This window comes from Homo sapiens, chromosome 8, assembly GCF_000001405.40.
Source record: "Homo sapiens chromosome 8, GRCh38.p14 Primary Assembly".
Lineage (NCBI taxonomy): Eukaryota > Metazoa > Chordata > Mammalia > Primates > Hominidae > Homo > Homo sapiens.
Genome location: NC_000008.11, coordinates 62,565,230 through 62,586,179, shown reverse-complemented (window position 1 = coordinate 62,586,179; position 20,950 = coordinate 62,565,230). Strand labels below are relative to the sequence as shown.

The window sequence follows — 20,950 nt, the reverse complement described above, 5'->3', positions numbered from 1 at the left end:
CAATTCAGATTAAAATGAATTGTCCTTTGCACATGAGCATTTGCATAAAAGTCCAGATAACTAAATTGCGGACTTTTCAAATTCACTTGACCCTTTACAAATTTTTAAAGGCAGTTTTGAGCTAATTTTAATTTCAAGGTTAATCTTATTTCAAAAAATGTTAAACAAATTTGCTAATTCATCTGCATGTGAGTTAAAACCTGCTTGATTAAATTATCACCCATGAAATAATGAAGATTTAAGTAATTATAGGACAAAAATCTTATTTTTAAATTTAGAAGTAGAATAAAACATATTTGACCGAGGAGTAAACAGATAGGAAATAACTGATTCTACAACAATGCTTTGTGAAGGGTAAATATGATTTCACTGCTTCATACTGTCTATAGCCAAAGAAGCACATAAGGCCCATTCAAAACGCAAGACAGAACACAGTATTCCCCTAAAGCAGGGGTTCCCAATCTCCAGGCCACAGACCAGTACTGCCTAAGCTCTGCCTCCTGTCAGATCAGCGTGGCATTAGATTCTCATAGGAACACAAGCCCTATTGTGAACTACCCATGCGAGGGATCTAGGCTGCGGCTACTTATGACAATCTAACTAATGCCTGATGATCTGAGGTGGAACATTTTCATCCCAAAACCAACTCGCCCAACCTCTGGAAAAATTGTCTTCCATGAAATGAGTTCCTGGTGTCAAAAAGTTTGGGAATGGCTGCCCTAAGGTACACATTCCACCTTGCACCTTAGCCAAAATACTTTCATGAGTAAAGGAGTACTATGTGGCAAAGTTGTTTTCATATTCTAAAAATAAATACAGAAATAGTAAATTGTACCTTAATAGTGTGATGGTACCTGGAAGGGAATTATTGATCTTTGATTCTGTGATTTGGGGTGGTTTTTCTAATAGTCTTTGCCGAGAGGCCTCCTCAATTATAGTGGCAGGAGCTCGCAACACTACATCTTAGAAAAAAATAAGTCTTGAGGAGTAAGTCAGCTAATGGTAGGTGCAGGCAGCACAGCACATACTATTTTATCATATAATTAATTCCCTCAACCAAGTTCAGGCTGAGATAAGCAAGGCAGTACATTGCTGTCATGTTCTGAGATTTTAAAAAAGTCCCTGTCCATTCCATCTTGTAAAATCCTTTCATCCAATAAACTTTGATTTATTTATTGTTTGCCCAATCAAGTATTAAGCATATCTAATGGTCTGTACATACAGGAATTGGCCTAGAACACAGGAATAGGCTTAGAATACAGCAATAGATGGGCACAGTTCTGCCTTCCAGAAGTACACATTGTTGAATGGGGCAAGACAGGTAGCGAAGCAATGATGACAGCCGGGTAGGGTGCTGGGGTAGAAAGTTACCAGGATTTACAGTAGCAGAAGGGAAGAGATACTTTCCCTTGCATTCAGTGGTCAGGCAAGGCCTGTAAAAGGTGACTATTTAATTGAGGATTATTAAAGGTTTTCCAAGAGGATAGAGAGATTAAGGCATTCCAGGCAGAAGGAGCAGTATGTGCAAACTGAAGAGGCAAAAGCAGCATGTGGTCTTTCGAAAACACAAATCATTCAGTGTGGCTGGCACAAGGTAGGCAAATGGGGAATGCAGGAGGTGCTGGAGAAGTAGATAAAGAAACAATTTTCATAAGCTTTGATTTAGACTCTAAGAGTTTGGAAAAGCTAGTCACTGGTGAGCTTGAGTCTCATGGTCCTTTACCCAAAACATTTTCATAAAGGTGATCAATTACTTAAACTCAGCTGTGATGAACCCTGTCTCTTGTCCAAAATGGCAGTAAATTATCTGTGTTTTTGTAAAACTAGAGGTCTATTAAATTGTCTCAGTGAACATACATATTTTATTAATCTCTGCGTGAGCACTTAGCACATACCTGGTGCTCCAAAGTGTTTGTTATTTTGAAATGGATTAAATTTAATTGACCTATCTGTGTGGTGGTTTGGCCAATAAAGGAAGACAATACTAAAAATAGAAGAAGCAATTTTGAGAGAAAATCTCTTGCAATGAAAAAGCTCTTTCCCCTCACAGTGAAAAGTCAGTATGGATTTCTGCTCCAGAACTCTTCTCACTGCCATTGAAAAGCTGCTGCCTCTAATGGGACATATGCCACATTCATTTTCAGTTTTTTTAAATATCAGAATTAATTCTAGGCCACCAGTTGTAGCTTCAAACCAAAGCATTTGTGACAACAACTCAAGAATGAATTAAAAAAAACCTTCCCAAATAACAACATGCTCTTTTTTAAAAGGCAATTTTTGTGAACAGATTTCTCATACTCATAGATTAATGATTCTTTAGGTACTTTTATCAAATAGATAATTTATACCCATATTAGAATAAGACGTAATCTGGAGCTTCATAAAGGTAACAATATCTGACTGGGAGGTAGGCCAAGACTGTTTCCTATATCACAACTTATACTGACAATGGTAACATTATCATCTGGAATCTGCCAGTGAAAGCAAAGCACAGATCATGCTCTAGCAGCTCCTTGAACCTAACAATCACAGGCCAGTACACACCCAGTTCTGCTGCCCACTACCACCTGTGTTCCTTGGGCTAGTCGCTCAATCTTTCTGACCTCTTTTCTCATCTGGGAAATCAGAGAAGCTAATACATGCCCTGTAGGATATTTATGAGAATGAAACCTAATGACATGCATGGACAGCTTTCACACAAATTTGTTGCTTTCTTTCTCTCCCCTTCCTGAGAGAGGATCCTGAATAAGATAGCAAATAAAATGAGAGAGACTTGGTTGGCATAATCCATAAAAAGAGACCATCAAGATGAGCAAAAACATGGATTGTTGGTCTTGTTGATGCTTTTCTTTGAAGATTCTGAAAGACCTAAAACTGCCTTCCTCTACGCATAGGAGGGAGGAGGGAGAGAGGGAAGCAAAGGAAAAAGTACCAGCAGAGAAGTGACAGCAGTTTCATCATGGGTGGACTCTGTGAACTAGTAGGACACTAGATAGGAAAAATAATCAATAAGTATGTACTGAGCGCTAATTACATTCTATGCTCTCAAAGAACACTTTGCCTAGAAGACATAAACATGAACAAATTATAAAACATACTCAAGACACTCTAGAGGTGAAGGAGCAGAGAGTGATTCACCATTAACGTGTATGGAAGAAGGTATCCATGAGAGACTGAGGAAATATTGCTAGACCGGGACACAAACACCAGGCAAGGCTACCAGAGCATGAGGCTGGTGAGGCAGGTGCAGCAGGAGGCCCATGACACTGAGGTGTGCAGACTCTCAGCCCTCCTGGGTCTCCACACCTGGCTCAGGCCTTCCCCTAGGCCTTGCCCCACTGATGATCTCATTCCTCTTCACTGCCATTTACTCACCTCTAGAGAGCCCCAGAACCTGCGCCTCCTCACTCCTTACATGGTTAGTGCCTGCAGAGCAGGGCCTCTGACATTTGAATTCTTTCCTATTTTTCCAAACTTAGCACAGTACAGGTCCTCAATAGATGCTTAATGAGTAAATCAGAACTGCTCTGATAGTCCCCCTTCTATGGACCTTGTGGTGCCTCCGGCCCAGACCCCCCTTCACTCCCTTGTTCCCTTGTGGACTCACTCTCACACTTGTCTCATACTCGTGACTCACTCTCATACTGAGAGCAGACCTCAGCTCTCAGCTCCCTGCAGGGTGCCTAACCCCATTGCCCGGCTACAGGCAGATACCCCATTAGACATCTCATGGCTAGTGTGCTCCTTCGTATCACTTATCGCAGTTGCAATTTAACATTTATGTGGACAATTGTTTGATAAAGGCACACCTCTCTTCATTGCACTGTAAGGTAAGCACCCAGGAAGACAGAGAATGTGTCTGTCTGTTTTTGCTCACCAGTATAGTCCACACCTAACACAAGGCCAAACACAGGGTAGAAGCTCAATAAATATCTCTTGAATTAATAAGTAGAAGAAAAAAGGGAGAAGGAAAGTTAGAAAAGAAAGAAGTGAGTAAAGGAAAGAGGATGGGGAGAGGAAGGGAAAGAAGAAGGAAGGAAGGAAGAAAGGAAGGAAGGAAAAAGGAAAGAAGGAAGGAAAGACAGAAGGAGGGAGGGAGAGAGGGAGGGAGGAAAGGAGGGAGGAAAGAAGGGAGTGAGGATGGGTGGGAGGGAGGAAGGAAAAAAGGAAAGAGGGAAGGAAGGAAAGAAGGAAGGGAGGGAGGAAGGATAGAAGGAAGGGAGGGAGGATAGGTGGGAGGGAGGAAGGAAAAAAGGAAAGAGGGAAGGAAGGAAAGAAGGAAGGGAGGGAGGAAGGGTAGAAGGAAGGGAGTGAGGATGGGTGGGAGGGAGGAAGGAAAAAAGGAAAGAGGGAAGGAAGTAAAGAAGGAAGGGAGGGAGGATAGGTGGGAGAAAGGGAGGGAGGGAGGGAGGAAGGAAGGAAAGAAGGGATGGATGGAGGGAGGGAGGAAGGTGGGGGACAAAGGAAGGAAAAAAGGAAGAATGGTTAGATATGAGTTTGGTCAAGTACATCAGGCAAGAATATTCTTAGATCTTATCCAGCTAAGGACCCAGTGGTGGTTTTAAGCCAGTAATTTAAGAAAAGTACAAAGAGCAAATTGGAAGGGAGAAAGGTAGAAAATAAGAGGCAAAGTCTATCTATAGAAGAGAGAAGGCATAAGCCTCAACAAAGGCAGCAGTTATGTGAATAGTGCATACGGTTAACATTTAGAGGGTAAAATCACCAGGACTAAATGTCACTGGTGTTTACCTATAGCTTCATTCTCTGGAAGCCATCTATGGTTTCAAAGCCACCAGGTATTTTGTTTCGCAGCAGAATACCAATATCATAAAACAAAAAGTCTGTAATGAGTAAAACTGCTCTATATTCATAGTAACAAACTAGAACACATTTAGAATTTGATAATAGCTTGATTATGCATGTTATGAAAGCATCTTAGGCCTCAAGTCCAACTCCATGAAACCCCCTTCTAGGAGATTGTGTAGTTACTTAGCAGAGGCTACTGTATTTTTATTTTATTTTATTTTATTTTATTTTATTTTATTTTATTTTATTTTATTTTATTTTATATTTTTTTGAGACAAGGTTTCTCTCTGTTGCCTAGGCTGGAGTGGAGTGGCATGATCATGGCTTACTGCAGCTTTGATCTCCTGGGTTCAAGCGATCCTCCTGCCTTGGCCCCCCAAGTAGCTGGGACCACAGGCCCCCCAATGTCTGGCTACTTTTTGTATTTTTTTGTAGACACTGGATTTCTATATATATATATATATATAAAAACCCTAGCTGCTCTTGAACTCCTGAGCTCAAGCAATCCTCCTGCCTCAGCCTCCCAAAGTGCTGGGACTACAGATGTGAGCCACCGTACCTGGTTGAGGCTATTTCTAAGAGAAGGAAAGTAAAGCAGAAATTGTTTAACCCTGGCAGCAAATTGAGAGCTATCAAATGCTCCCAAGGCCATTGGAATGCAGTCTATTCAGTTATCTATATCTCTGTGAAATGGTGAAAGAAATAAAAAAGCCAAGTTTAAAAATCAAAATAGAGAATGGATTAACAGAGAAAAATTATAACTTTATTATTTTCCACAGGTGGAATTAGATTATGTCAAAATGGAAAGATGGCATGTTTTTAAGTCTATGATTTTCTTCTAGTGAGGCAATATCAGTGTATCCCAAGAAAATATCTAGTAATTCTACTGAACACTGTATATTTATTCAGGCTTAATGAACATTTTAAAGTATGTTACTCCAACTTACAATACGTATATATGCTTATTATTTCTCACAACCTTCTCACATGGTAGCCTATAGTAATGAACTCTTTTATGTTATAGAAAAGACAACTAATTACTGTGAATAACTTCCATTAGATTGTGGGTCACAGCATACACCTCATTAAACTGTCCTATAATGGAGTGTGTGCTGACCAAGTTTTGGATATATGTTTCAAATTCATCTTGACAAACAGAGAAATATTCAATATCAATCAGTATGAAATGTTAGGGATGTGTACCAAATATCCATCCATACATGCACTTGTAATGTCCTAAATCAATTAAAATTAAAATACATTATTGTTTTCAGTGACTAAACAATTATGCTAGAAAGATTTGTTTTTTGGAGTTAGTGACAAATGTCACTGAAAGTTATGATAAATTAATGGTTAATGTACATTGCATCTAACTATCCTATTACCAAGACTACAAGCAGACCTCCTACTCTATCCAACCACTATTTTGAATTTCCTTGTAAAACTTGAATTCAGTTACGTTGTGAGTGACACCATGTCATCATACACTTTTGAGCATGTTGTTTTGATCTGACTGTACAACATTCATTATTTTGTATTTTCCACAGATAATCACTTCTTAACAAAATTTAACATTTGAGGGCTAGAAAAGCAATGCCACATTATATCAGAAGGGGCCACTTAGAAATATTTTATTTATATTCTTATAGAAATTTTGAATTGTTTATATGAAGCAAAATGATAAAAATAAGACTTACCACCATTATGTATCGAGGTCTGTACTGAATGGTCCCAAACAAACCCAATATGACAACTATTATGTGTAGAAAATTTCCAAGAATAGGCGCCCACTGGAAACCAAGGAAGTCAAAGATCTGCCTCTCTAATGCTGAGACCTACAACAAAAAAAGAAAGTTCATTAGCATTGAATCCAAGCATCATCATACTATTTTAATCTTTATCTCATGGCTGGAGGAGTCTGCATATTCAACTTCAATCACACTTTTTGTCACCGTTATTATTAGAATTTTCATTCTTATTTCATGTGCTGTTTTATGCACCTTCTCTCAAAATATACTAAGATAGTTTTAAGCATTATAACTTCAAGTATAATTAGATTTTAAATCTATCTGGAGAGTGAGAGGTACACCTCTTAAATCATTTTCTACAGTAGAAAATCCAGACAGATTTTTTATGTTTTAAGTTTATCATTGTTATTTTTATATTAAAAATTATGTTTAATTATGAGGGGTACATCATAGGTATATATATTTATGGGGTACATGTGATGTCTTAATATAGGCATACATATGTAATAATCACAGCAGGGTAAGTAGAGTATCCATCACCTTAAACATTCCTCTTTTCTTTTTGTTAGGAACATTCCAATTCCACTATTTTAATTGTTTTAAAATATGTGATAAATTATTGTTGACTATAGTCACCCCATTGTGCTATCAAATACCAGATCTTATTCATTCTATCTACCTCTATTTTTGCATTTATTAACCATCCTCATTTTATCTTTTCCTCGCTCCCCTTCCCAGCCTCTGGTAACCATCATTCTACTCTCTATCTCCATGAGTTCAATTGTTTTAAATTTTTGCTCCCACAAATAAGTGGGAGAACATGTGAACTTTGTCTTTCTGTGATTGGCTTATTTCATATCATTATTTTTAATAAAACGATTGGCTTAGTATAACATAATTGGATCAAAAACAAAGAACTCCAGGCTTGTGACACTAGAACTAGTACCATTTTGGAAAAAAAACAAAAAACAAAAAAAACCTTCTACCTATCCCTGCTTTCTTGTGTGAAATATACGTTAGCCAAATCTTGTCTCTTTCTTTTCCTTTCCTAAGATTGCCAGTGGTGATAATGACTAACCACCTGTTCAAAACGAAGCTTACTCATTTACTTACTCTGGGCTCAAGACTCTGATCTAAAACTAGAGTTAACCCCCTTGAATCACATTTTATTGAGATCATATACCTACAAGAAAATTTATCTTGGATTAGATAGCATCCTTTTAGAATACCAGACAGAAATTATGAGGTCATTACAATTTTAGACATGCCAGAGTTTATTATATTTGTATTACATACATCTACATTTTAAAACAATTATAAAGTGTGTCAATATATACACAACAATTTATGATGAAACAGATGCATTTCATATGGTCCAGTGAATACCAAAAATGCCATTATTATGTTCTAACAGTATTTCTTGTATTCTACATTGAAAAATTTTACAATATCACCTGCTGTATTTGGACACAAATCATTATACTTTTCAGGCATTTTTCTAGTTTTGTATTGATAAAATAGTAATTCTAATAAAATGATCCAGTGATTAGCCATACTGATGGCACTGGAAACTGCAGCTTTGAAATGAAAATGGCTCCCTGGGTATTTTTCTAGTTATGTGGCAGGTGTATGCTTGAATAGCTTTAATTTCCTTGGACATAAAGAAATGTCCTCTATCCAGTAAGCTGAATTTACCTTGGTTAAGATTTGCCTTCAGCAAGCGGTGGCGGAAAAGAGAAGAGAGCGAAGCCTAAAGAAAACCACAACAGACCCACATTCATTTCACGGGTATTTCCTGATCATGGAGTGATATGATTCAGGATACATTCAGGATTCATCTCTTGAATCCATAAATGTTCAGACATGGCTAAAACGCAAAATATCAGAGCAAGATAAGAAGCAACACAGTGTTTTCAACCTCCTGCTTGTCTCTGCTTGTGACTCTAATTAGTCCCCAGGAACCTTTCTCTAAAAATTAGTTCCTGGGAACTTTTCTATGCAGCATTTTATTTATAGGGCCATCAGTGATACAAATATGTATTTTTTAAATGTCCAAACATAACTAAAATACTAAAAAAAAAAAAAAAAAGGAAACCCTGAAGAGCAGCTGCAGGCCATTCATTCAGAAAAACAAACAAAAAAAAAAACCAAAAAAAAAACAACAAAAAAACACCCACGCTATTTTAAAGCAGTTGTGCATGACAAAAAGCTTTAAGGTGAACTTTCAAAGAGAAAAACTCATTTTCTTTTCTGTCAGTAGATGCATGGATAACATTCTCTTTTATGATATTAAAGAAAACACAGGTAATGAAAGGGAAGCCAAATTAATGCCACTTATGAGAAAATATGCATTTTATATTCAAGGCACTCTCTCTATTTATTAATATTTATTCCCTGAGAACTTAAAAAAATGAATTGAGGTGGGAAGAAATAAGAGCACAAATAAAAAGTCATGAAAAACAGAGAAGGGAGCATATCGAGAATACAGAGAAGGGCAGCTGTAACAACTAAACAAACTGTGAAAACTAGATTTGAGTATTATAAATTTGAAAAGGTAACTAAAAACAACAAGCCTTCAAAAATAAACAAAGCACCATTGTATTTTTTACCTAATTATTCTATCTAACTTCCATTTTAGTTATTTAGCCATTTTGTTTACTGGCTAATATTTTCTCTCTAAATGTCATAATCTCTAGAGACACCACTTTTTGCCCTTGACTGTAATATTTATAATAATGACCCAGAGACCCCAAATAAGATGAAATTATATCCAAGTTGCTTTGTTAAGTCAGAAAATGGATGAATGTTCTTTAGAAATATCTCTGTTAAAATGGCTCTAATCTGTGGTGTTGGGGAGATGCTAGCCTTGGTTGAGGGGGCAGGAGGCATCCCTTCCCCATTCTATGGTCAGTGAACTTAAGTTGGGAACTTGATGTCTGCCATGATGGGAATATTTGCAAAATGGAAATCAGAAAATGCTGAAAATTAGAATTTGTTTATATGCATGTTTCGAGAACCTATGTTAAATTTTTACCTGCACACCACTGAATATGGCACCTAGAAAACAGTGGTTGTGATTCAGAAAAGCAGTGGAAGGAAGTCACTAAATTGTAATGTAGCATAAATAGAAAGCATTCGGTCCAGATGAGGGCAGAAGCGTAGAGGACTGAAAGAGGATCTCTGCAGAGATGCCCAAGCGAAGAGAATGAATGAGACCTTTACAGAACTTGAGTTTTAAAAAAAGTAGAGAAATAAAGAAAATCTAAAGGCAGTAAGATGCTCCAGAGAAGGTGAAATCAGCAGACCTAAAGAAAAATGCATCTTTTGCTCATTTTCTGATCAGATTATTAGATTTTTTAATAGAGATGTTTGAGTTCCTTATATATTCTGATTTATTAACCCTTTGTCAGATGGGTAGTTTGCAATTTTTTTCTCCCATTCTGAGAGTTGTCCCTCCACTTTGTTGATTGTTCCCTATGCTGTGCAGAAGCTTTTTAACTCGATGTGATCCCATTTGTCAATTTTTGGTTTGGTTGCCTGTGCTTGTGGGATATTCCTAAAGAAATCCGCCCAGTCCAATGACCTGGAGAGTTTCCCTAGTGTTGTCTTCTAGTAGTTTTATAGTTTGAGGTCTTAGATTTAGGCCTTAAATCTATTTTGATTTAATGTTTGTATATGGCAAGAGATATGAGTCCAGTTTCATTCTTCTGCATATGGATACTCAGTTTTCCCTGACCCATTTATTGAAAAGATTGTCCTTTCCCCAATTTATGGTTTTAGCATCTTTGTCAAAAAATTCGTTCACTTTAGATATATAAGTTTATTTCTGGATTCTCTATGCTGTTCCATTAATCTATGTGTCTGTTTTTATGCCAGTGCCATGCTGTTTCAGTTACTATAGCTCTGTAGTACAATTTGAAGTCAGGTAATGTGATTCCTCCAATTTTGTTATTTTTGTTAAGGATAGCTTTGGATATTCTGGGTGTTTTGTGACTACATATAAATTTTAAGATTGTTTTTTCTATTTCTGTGAAGCATGTCATTGGTATTTTGGTAGAGAGCACCTCAGATCTGTGGATTGCCTTGGGTAGTGTAGACATTTTAACAATATTGATTCTTTCAATCCATAAACATGGAATATCTTTCCATTTTTTGGTGTCCTCTTAAAATTTCTTTCATCAATGTTTTATAGTTTTTATTGCTGAGATCTTTCACATTTTTGGTTAATTCCTAGGCATTTAATTTTATTTGTAGCTATTATAAATGGGATTACTTTCTGGGTTTCTTTTTTAGATTGTTTGCTGTTGGCATACAGAAATGCTACTGATTTTTGTATGTTGATTTTGTATCCTGCAACTTTACTAAATTTGTTTGTCAGTTCTTATATTTTTGGTGGAGTCTTTAGGTTTTCCCAAATATAAAATCATATCATCTGCAAACAAGGCTAATTTGACTTCTTCCTTCCCAATTTGATGCCTTTTATTTCCTTCTCTTATCTGATTGCTCTAGTTAGTACTTCTGGTACTATGCTGAATAACAGTAATGAAAGTGGGCATGCTTGTTGAGTTCCAGGTTTTAGAGGAAACACTTTCAGTTTCTCCCTATTCAGTATGATACTAGCTGTTGGTCCATTGTATATGGCTTTTATTTGTTGAGGTAATTCCTTCTACACCCAGTTTTTTTTTTAAAGGTTTTTATCCTGAAGGGATGTTGAATTTTATCAAATGCCTTTTCAGCATTAATTGAAATGATCATATGGTTTTTGAGTTACTTCTTGAAAGAAGACATATAAATGGCCAACGGGTATATAAAAAGGTGGTCAACATTACTGATCATCAGAGAAATGCAAACCAAAACTACAATAAGATATGATCTCACCTCAGTTAAAATGGCTTATATCCAAAAAACAGGCAATAGCAAATGCTGGCAAGGGTGTAGAGAAAAGGGAAACCCTGTACACTGTTGGTGGAAACGTAAATCATTACAACCACTATGGAGAACGGTTTGAATTTATTTCTGGGTTCTTTATGCTGTTCCATTAATCTATGTGTCTGTTTTTATGCCAGTGCCACGCTGTTTCAGTTACTATAGCTCTGTAGTATAATTTGAAGTCAGGTAATGTGATTCCTCCAATTTTGTTATTTTTGTTAAAATAAACTAAATAAAATAAATTCAAAAAACTAAAAATAGAGCTACCATATGATCCAGCAATCTCACTTATAGGTTTATACCCAAAAGAAAGGAAATCAGTATATCAAAGTGATATCTGTACTCCCACGTTTATTGCAGCACTATTCACAATAGCCAAGATTTGGAAGCAACCTCTGTCCATTAACAGATGAAAGGATAAAGAAAATGTGGCACATATACACAATGGAGTACTATTTAACCATAAAAAGAATAAGATCCTGTCATTTGTATCCTGTCATTTGCCAGAGCATGGACAGAACTAGAGGTCATTATGTTAAGTGAAATAAGCCAGGCACAGAAAGACAAACTTCACATGTTCTCACTTACTTGTGGAGCTAAACATAAAAACAATTGAACTCATGGAGACAGAGAGCAGAATGATAGCTTCCGGAGGCTGAGAAGGGTAGTAGGGGTTGGAGGAAGTGGAGAGGTTAATGAGTACAACAAAAATAGAAAGTATGAACAAGGTCTAGTATTTGATAATACAACAGGGTGACTGTAAGTAATAATTTAATTGTACATTTTAAAATAGCTACAAAAGTATAATTAGATTGTTTGTAACAACAAGAATGAATGCTTGAGATGATGGATACCCCATTTATCTTGATGTGATTATCACACATTGCAAGCCTTTATCATAAAATCACATGTACCCCATAAGTCTATACACCTACTATGTACCCACAAAATTAAAAATTAAAAGCTTAAAAAGAATGAACAAAATAAAATAAAACTTGAAAATCTTAGACACTTAAAAAAAGAACAGTGGAATTATTTCTAAAAGAAAGCTAAAGTAGGTAAGAATCTGTACACTATAAAGAATAGGATGAAAATAAATATCTTGTATTAAAAAGTTACAAAGTAAAGGCAATCAGGATCTTAATAAAAAGGAAGAAAAGAAGGCAGGAAAGAAAGAAGGAGGAGAGGAGGGAAGTAAGAAGGAAAAGAAACCAAATCATATACATAACGAAAGCATGGTTCAAAAATACCAAAAAATTAAAATGAGGCATGATTTTCATGTATATTGAAGAAACCATTGAAATAGCCTTGCTGAGTGGCACAGCACAGGAAACATTGTAGTTGCAATTGAGGAATGAAACCCTAGCTCATGCTAGGTGCTGCATGAAAAATATTTCACAGTCATTATAACTGTTTTATTAGATTACACCTTTAAGAATCAAATTGTAAAAAACTTCAAAGTCTTCAGTATGGTTATTGAATAAAATATTAGTGTTATTTGACCATATGAAGTATATCTAAGAGAGGTTGGAATGGGCTGAATGTTATGTGTCTATATTTTGTATGTCATGGCAAGGAGGAAGGGGCATGTTTTAAAATTCTTCCTGCAGAGTCAGGTGTTTTCTTATGAGGCTCCAAGGTGAAAATAACATTTCCTGCAAGTCTATGAATCATTAGCCATGCCCCGCATTAACTACCTATACTCCCAGTAACGCAAGAAATGTCCCTGCTTGCTTATTTCATCCTCAAGCAATGTATATAGAGACAAATGGGAGTGCCTTTAAAATACAATGTTTCTTATTGACACATTGATGTGGTTTGACTTTGTGTCCATACCCAAATCTCATCTTGTAGCTCCCATAATTCCCACGTTGTTGGAGGAACCTAGTGGGAGATGATTGAATCATGGGGACAGGTCTTTCCTGTGCTTTTCTCATGATAGTGAATAAGTCTCATGAGATCTAATGGTTTTAAAAAGGGGAGGTTCCCTACACAAGCTCTCTTCCCTTGTCTCCCACTAAATGAAATGTGTCATTCACCTCCTGCCATGATTGTGAGGCCTCCCCAGCCATGTGGAACTATAAATCCAATAAACCTCTTTCCTTTTTAAATTGCCCAGTCTCACATATGTCTTTATCAGCAGTGTGGAAACAGACTAATATAGTAAATTAGTACCAGTAGAGTGAGGTGTTGCTGAAAATATACCCGAACATGTGGAAGCGACTTTGAAACTAGGTAACAGGCAGAGGTTGGAACAGTTTGGAGGGCTCAAAAGAACACAGAAAGATGTAGGAAAGTTTGGAATTTCCTAGAGACTTGTTGAATGTCTTTGACAAAAATACTGATAGTGATTTGAACAACAAGGTCCAGGCTAAGGTGGTCTCAGAAGGAGATGTGGAACTTGTTGGGAACTGGAGCAAAGGTGACTCTTGTTATGTTTAAGCAAAGAGACTGGCAGCATTTTGTCCCCTTGAACTTCAGAGAGATGATTTAGGGTATCTGATGGAAGAAATTTCTAAGCAGCAAAGCATTCAAGAGGTGACTTGGGTGCTGTTAAAGGCATTCAGTTTTGAAAGGGAAACAGAGCATAGAAGTTTGGAAAATTTGCAGCCTGACGAGGCAATAGAAAAGAAAATCCCATTTTCTGAGGTGAAATTCAAGCCAGCTACAGAAATTTGCCTAAGTAAAGAGAAGCCCAATGTTAATCCCCAAGACAATGGGGAAAATGTCTCCAGGGCATGTCAGAGGTCTTCATGGCAGTCCCTCCAATCACAGGCCTGGAGGCCTAAGAAGAAAAAGTGGTTTCGTGGGCCGGCCCAGGGTTCCTATGCTGTGTGCAGCCTAGGGATTTGGTGCCCTATGTCCCAGATGTTTCAGCTATGGTGTAAGGAGCCAACATAGAGCTCAGGACAAGGCTTTAGAGGGTGCAAGCCCCAAGCCTTGACAGCTTCCATGTGGGGTTGAGCCTGTGGGTGCACAGAAGTCTAAGAAATGGGCTTTGGGAACCTCTGTCTGGATTTCAGATTTATGGAAATGCCTGGATGCCCAGCAGAAGATTGCTGCAGTGGCGGGGCCCTCATGGAGATCCTCTGCTAGGGCAGTGTGGAAGGGAAATGTGGGGTTGGCGCTCCCATGCAGAGTCTGCACTGGGGTACTGCCTAGTGGAGTTGTGAGAAGAGGGTCACCATCCTCCAGACCCCAGAATGGTAGATCCACCGACAGCTTGCACTGTGTGCCTGGAAAAGCTGCAGACACTCAACATTAGCCCACGAAAGCAGCTGGGAGGGAGGCTGTACCCTGCAAAGCCACAGAGGTGGAGCTGTCCAAGACCACGGCAACCAACCTCATGACTGGCCATCATGGTGAAACCCCTGGTCTACTAAAAATACAAAAATTAGCCAGGCATGGTGGCTCTTGCCTGTAGTCCCAGCTGCTTGGGAGGCTGAGGCAGGAGAATCACTTAAACCTGGGAGGCAGAGGTTGCAGTGAGTCAAGATTGCAACACTTTACTCCAGTCTGGGCAGTAGAGTGAGACTGTCTGAAAAAAAAAAAAAAAATAAGCCTATTTCAATAACCCAAGACTTATTTGAAATGGCCTAGGAAATACCAACTTAGCTAATAAGAATATATTTAGAGCTTTTACATCACACTTTAAGGAAAGAATTGATTCTTCATGTTTATGAAATATTTATCACATGAATTCGTAGGCTAGAGACTACACACAAGAGAGTAGCAGTCATACAATACACTTTAATTTGTTTTGTGAAACTATCGTTTGATCAAATGCTTTCTTAGGATTCTGCCAATATGTGTGACCCTGTTTTAATCTTTTTCATTGTGTCTACCTGTAGTGAACAGTGGAAAAATCCAAGTGGAATGAGAGTAAAAGGCAGCTCACTTTGAGCTGCCTGTTGGAAAGGCATGATTGGTTTTAAGATGTGATGAGATTTGGAGGGACCAGAGGTGAAATGATATGGTTTGGCTCTGTGTCCCCACCCAAATCTCATCTTGCAGCTCCCATAATTCCCATATATTATGGGAGGGACCTGGTGGGAGATGATTGAATCACGGGGGCGAGTCTTTCTTGTGCTGTTCTCGTAATAGTGAATAAGCCTCACGATATCTGATAGTTTTAAAAATGGGAGTTTCCCTCCCCAAGCTCTCTTCTCTTGTCTGCTGCCATGCGAGATGTGCCTTTCACCTTCAGCCATGATTGTGAGGCCTCCCAACCACGTGGAACTGTAAGTCCAATAAACCTCTTTCCTTTGTAAATTGCCCTGTCTCGAGTATGTCTTTGTCAGCAGTGTGAAAACGGATTAATACACCCATATATGATGAATAATGCTTCATGTGGCATTCTTCATAATTGTTCATAACACTTATTCTTAATTGTAAACATTAATTTACACATAAAACTAAAGAGCTATGAAAACTTCAGGTGACTAAATATATTCCTTGGTATCTGACCAAACTGGTCTATAGGATAAGCATCTGCCCAAAGAAGAGCTAAGAAAGAAGGCTCATTCTTGTGGAGTGAGTACCCCTGGAGATTCAACTTCACAATAAGGAAAGTGAGCTGCCTTTTACTCTCATTCCACTTGGATTTTTCCACTGTTCACTACAGGTAGACACAATGAAAAAGATTAAAACAGGGTCACACATATTGGCAGAATCCTAAGAAAGCATTTGATCAAACGATACTTTCACAAAATAAATTAAAGTGTATTGTATGACTGCTACTCTCTTGTGTGTAGTCTCTAGCCTAGGAATTCATGTGATAAATATTTCATAATCATGAAGAATCAACTCTTTCCTTAAAGTGTGATTTAAAAGCTCTAAATATCATTCATATTAGCTAAATTGGTATTTCCTAGGCCATTTCAAATAAGTCTTGGGTTACTGAAGTAGGCTTTTTTTTTTTTTCAGACAGTCTCACTCTACTGCCCAGACTGGAGTACAGTGTTGCAATCTTGACTCACTGCAACCTCTGCCTCCCAGGTTTAAGTGATTCTCCTGCCTCAGCCTCCAAAGCAGCTGGGAATACAGGTATGAGTCACCATGCCTGGCTAATTTTTGTATTTTTAGTAGACCAGGGGTTTCACCATGATGGCCAGTCTGTTCTCAAAGTCCTGGCCTCAAATAATCTGCCCAACTCAGCCTCCCAAAGTGCTGGGATTACAGGCATGAGCCACTGTGCCCAGCCTGAAGTAGTCTTTTTTATGTCTGGAAAGTTCACATATGCCTCAACTCCACTAACACATTCTTAGCTCTAAACTCTCCTATCTATTCAACTCCCAAGGGACTTTTCATGCTTGAGGTTGATGAAGCCCAACTTCTATGTACATCAGCATGCGTTAGGCCAAGTACAGTTTTATATTTTAAACTGTAATTTCAGAGTATTATTTTCAGAGCTCTGAAAAAAAGCTCAATAGCATTTGTATCATGATCCTACTTCATCATGTAATACCACAGAGTCCTAATAACCTGGAGACTTGCCACTATGCTAGACAGAGCTACTCTGGAGAAGTTTCCATGTGTCTACAGGCAGGTGAATAAGCCTTAGGATGAACATAGACTTTGAGATGGATCCAGGAATTCTATATTTGTAATGCTTGTGATGCAGTTCGACCAACAGACAGTTGTAGTCTGATATATCACCTCCTTTTCCTGTTACTTGGTTTTTAGTACCATCCCTGGTGGCCTGAATGATCATTAGTGCTTATGTAGCTAGGTGAGGTGGAATTGCACATGCTCAGTGGAAGAGTACTTTCCTTAATGTCAAGTGTGATTGTCTAGGTTGTTCCTTGAACTAGCTCTTCTAGGTGAAAAAATTGTCTCCAGAATATTTGAAAAGGCTACTTGAATTCTGTTTATATGTGTTTTAGTCCCTATATCTCAAGAAGTGAAATGGGGATTTCCTATCCTTAAAATTCAATAATAAAGATGTAAACTACTTTGCCAGGCAAACAATATGGGATCTCAGAAAACAGCTACATGTTGTGCGGCAAGTCTATTTTATTTTAAGAGATAAGGAACTGTGGATCACATCTTAAGGAAAGTTTTCTGTTAAAAGAGGAATGAATATTACATTGCAAATAGACAGATTTATGGAAGTTGATGAACTGAAAAAGTGCATGTGAAGGACATCTATGTATCACAAATTCACTCAGGAAAGTCTTTTGTTTTTCTTGTGCACTGACTCAGAATATCAACTGGCAGAGTGAAAACGATTTCGCAAAATTTTCAATGTGTCGAAAAAGGCAAATATATTAAAGAAATATTCTAAAGCCTACAAAACAGTAATACTATGTATATGACAATATTTGTCACTTCAATTTTTTATATTTATTAATCTAATCTGATGCTATCCCTATTAGATATAGGAAGATACTCAGAATGATCAACTAATTAAACTCAGAGCTGGGACTTAGTGTATTTATGCTCTGACCATACCACTCTGAAATCATGCAGTCAAAATGCATACTGTTTAATGAGTTTAAATTCAGAAATAAGCTTTATCATAAAATGTAGGAAGAAATATAGGATGCATGATGCTGTGTTTCATGATTTAGTCCTCTTTCTTCTCCACCCCACCCATATCTAGGTGTGGCAATTTCTTCCTCAAGTGTTTACAAAAGGAAAGTTGCACTTTTCAGAAACTTATTAGCTGTGCTATCTTAGTCAACCTTCAATTTATCAAAAGCAGGTAACAGTAATCTTTAATTTGATACACATGTGAAAAACATAGATGGCATTCAATAAGTAGAAAAAGTAGTGTATTTATTTCCTGTTGCTATTTCAGTGTTCTAGCAAATTACCAAAACTTATATTACTTTATTACTTTATAATCTTTTTACTTTATAATATTATATTACTTTATTATCTTTTGTAGTCCAGAATCTGAAACAGGTCTCAATGGGCTAAAATCAAGGAATCAGAAGGGCTGCATTCCTTCTGGAGGCCATAGGGGAGACTTCCTTTTTTTTAACTTTTCCAGCTTCTAGAAGTTCCCCACATCTCTTGATGGGTGGCCCTCTTCCACTATCTTCAAAGCCAGCCACAGTGGGCTGAGTCCTCATGCTACCATCATTCTGTTCCTTCTCACCTGTCTCCTTCTTTCACTTATAAAGACCTTTATAATTACATTGAGCCCTTTTGGATAATTTAGGAAAACTTTCAATTTCCAGAACAGCTAAATACTTAATTTCATCTGTGACATGCATTCTCCTTTGCCATGTAAAGTAAAATTTCAACACATTCCAGTGATTCGGACATGGACATCTTTGGGACCAATATTCTGCCTACCACACCATTTCTTCTTGCTCTGTCAATTCGGAGTTCCCTTGTTAATGGTACCCTGCCTGCTAGTGGGCATGTATGCACATCTCAGCCCGGCCCTGACCAGTCTAAGAAGAATCTTGAGTCTCTCTTTTTCTTCTTCCAACCCCAGAAAACCACATCTGAGCTAATGTTACTGTCTGTTCCACTCCTTCTAGGACCAACCCTATTACTTAGGTGACCAGGACTTCTCCCACACCATCCTGAATCCACTGGAAGTTTTCATTCCAGAAAAATTCATTGAAGTAGCATTATAATTCAAAATTTGTAATATAGGTATAAGAATTTTGATATAAAGAAACATAGCCTTAACTCTACAGAAGTACTTATAAAGCTATATCCACAAAGCGTAACAGAAAGGAAAAGACAAAGATTTCCAGTATATATCCTAGAGTATATATATCCTATATACTACTAATGCCCCATTTGAGATTAAAATATTATGAATAAGTTCCTTTTCTTTGCCTAGAAAAATAACTTTCATGTCTATAATAAGGAAAATCATTTGAGTTATGTCTAGTGATACTTAATGATCAATAGTAACATTCAGCACTTATGCAGTGATTTTTATTTTCAAGCTGCTCTACTGACATTCATCAAATTCAAGATACTCTGACTCTTTAAAGATGAATCAACTGAAAAAAAAGTTGGAGCTGGTGTCTCTGGAGTCCAGAGTATGGTATGTTTTGTGGTGGCAGGGATTATGAAAACCAAATGATAACAGATGACTAGATGGAGAGAAAGATTTTACATATATGATTAAAGTAATGTGGAAAGATTGTGATGCAAACATAAAACATTTTTAAAAATACTTCTGCTCCAACCATTAGAATATAATTCACTATTTCCTTTTAGATTCGGTTTTATAAATATAAAGCCATTAATTAATTTTTTTCTTTCTTTAGTTCACTCATTCATTTATTAATTATGAGGTAAGCACTAGGAGTACAAAGGTGAATGGCAGAATTCTTGGTTGGAGGAGTTAGTTCTTACTCTGGTGGAGAAGACAGGCATAAAGCAAATAATTATAATAAAATATTATATATGCTATAGTAAATGGGTGTCCAAAGAGCCAAAGGAACACAGAATAAAGGTGTTTAACCTCTGCCTGAGAAGACAAGCATATTCAAGGCACCTTTACAAAGAGGCTGCTGTTGAACACTATTCTCAAGCCATGGTCAAAGGTATTCCAGAAGAAAAAGGTGGGGGCAGAACAATGAAAGCTAAAGGTAGAACAAAGCATTTCCATAAGCCATGCAGTATCTGATGTGCCTCTGAAATAAATGCCTTAAAAATGGAGATAGCCTCTGCCTTACAAGGATGATGGATTGACTTGGGATTTTTTGACTTTACAGTGGGCAAAAGCAACAAGCATTCATAGAAAGTGTACTTTGAGTACCTATACAACCATTATGTTTTTCATTTATAGTATAGACACTCAATAAATTACAAGATATTCAATACTTTATTATAAAATAAACTTTGTCTTAGGTTATTTTGCCTAATTGTAGGGTAATTTAAGTGTCTAATGTGAGCACATTTAAGGGAGGCTAGGATAAGTTATACCACTCAGTAGGTTCGGTTCAGTGTATTAAATGCATTTTTGACTTTCAATATATTCAATTTACAATGGGTTTATCAGGACATAACCCCAACACAAGTGAAGTAGCATCTATATTCAATTTTAGTTTCACCAAATTTAAATCCACTTTCAAGTCTTTTTCTTAATTGCACAAGTTGTAGAAGCAACATTATGTAGTAGGAGATATTCAGACTGTTGGGCCAGACCATTTTGTTTCAAATCCTGGCTCTGCCATTTATACTGAAATGTGACCCTGAGCAACATCCTTAAACTCTGTGCCTCGGTTTCCCCTCTGTAAAATCAGGAAAATAATAGAAACTTTAGTTGTTGTTTTGGTAATGAAATGAGTTAATATGTATAAGGCATTTAAATCCATGCCTGGTGCTCTCTGTCACACACACACACACACACGCACACACGTATGCCCATGTATACATATGCACATACATATATATTGGTACATACATACATATGGACATGTTTGGTCTTATATAATGATATGAAAATGATGTTTATAAAGGGAGAGCTTGGAAATGAAGTGTCCGAT

At 37.3% G+C, this 20,950-nt stretch overlaps 1 protein-coding gene across 6 annotated transcripts in view; it reads right to left on the bottom strand.

The window, feature by feature from the left end:
* Positions 1 to 20,950, bottom strand: part of NKAIN3 (sodium/potassium transporting ATPase interacting 3) — a 750,799-nt gene that overhangs the window by 413,473 nt on the left and 316,376 nt on the right. For all 6 annotated transcript variants that reach the window (NR_130764.2, XM_017013359.2, NM_001304533.3 and 3 more), the window contains exon 2: positions 6,504 to 6,641. Coding sequence is in view for 5 of the 6 variants with exons in the window: in XM_017013359.2 (XP_016868848.1) it covers positions 6,504 to 6,641 (138 nt within the window). In the remaining variant the exon portion in view is untranslated. The remainder of the gene's footprint in view (positions 1 to 6,503; positions 6,642 to 20,950) is intronic.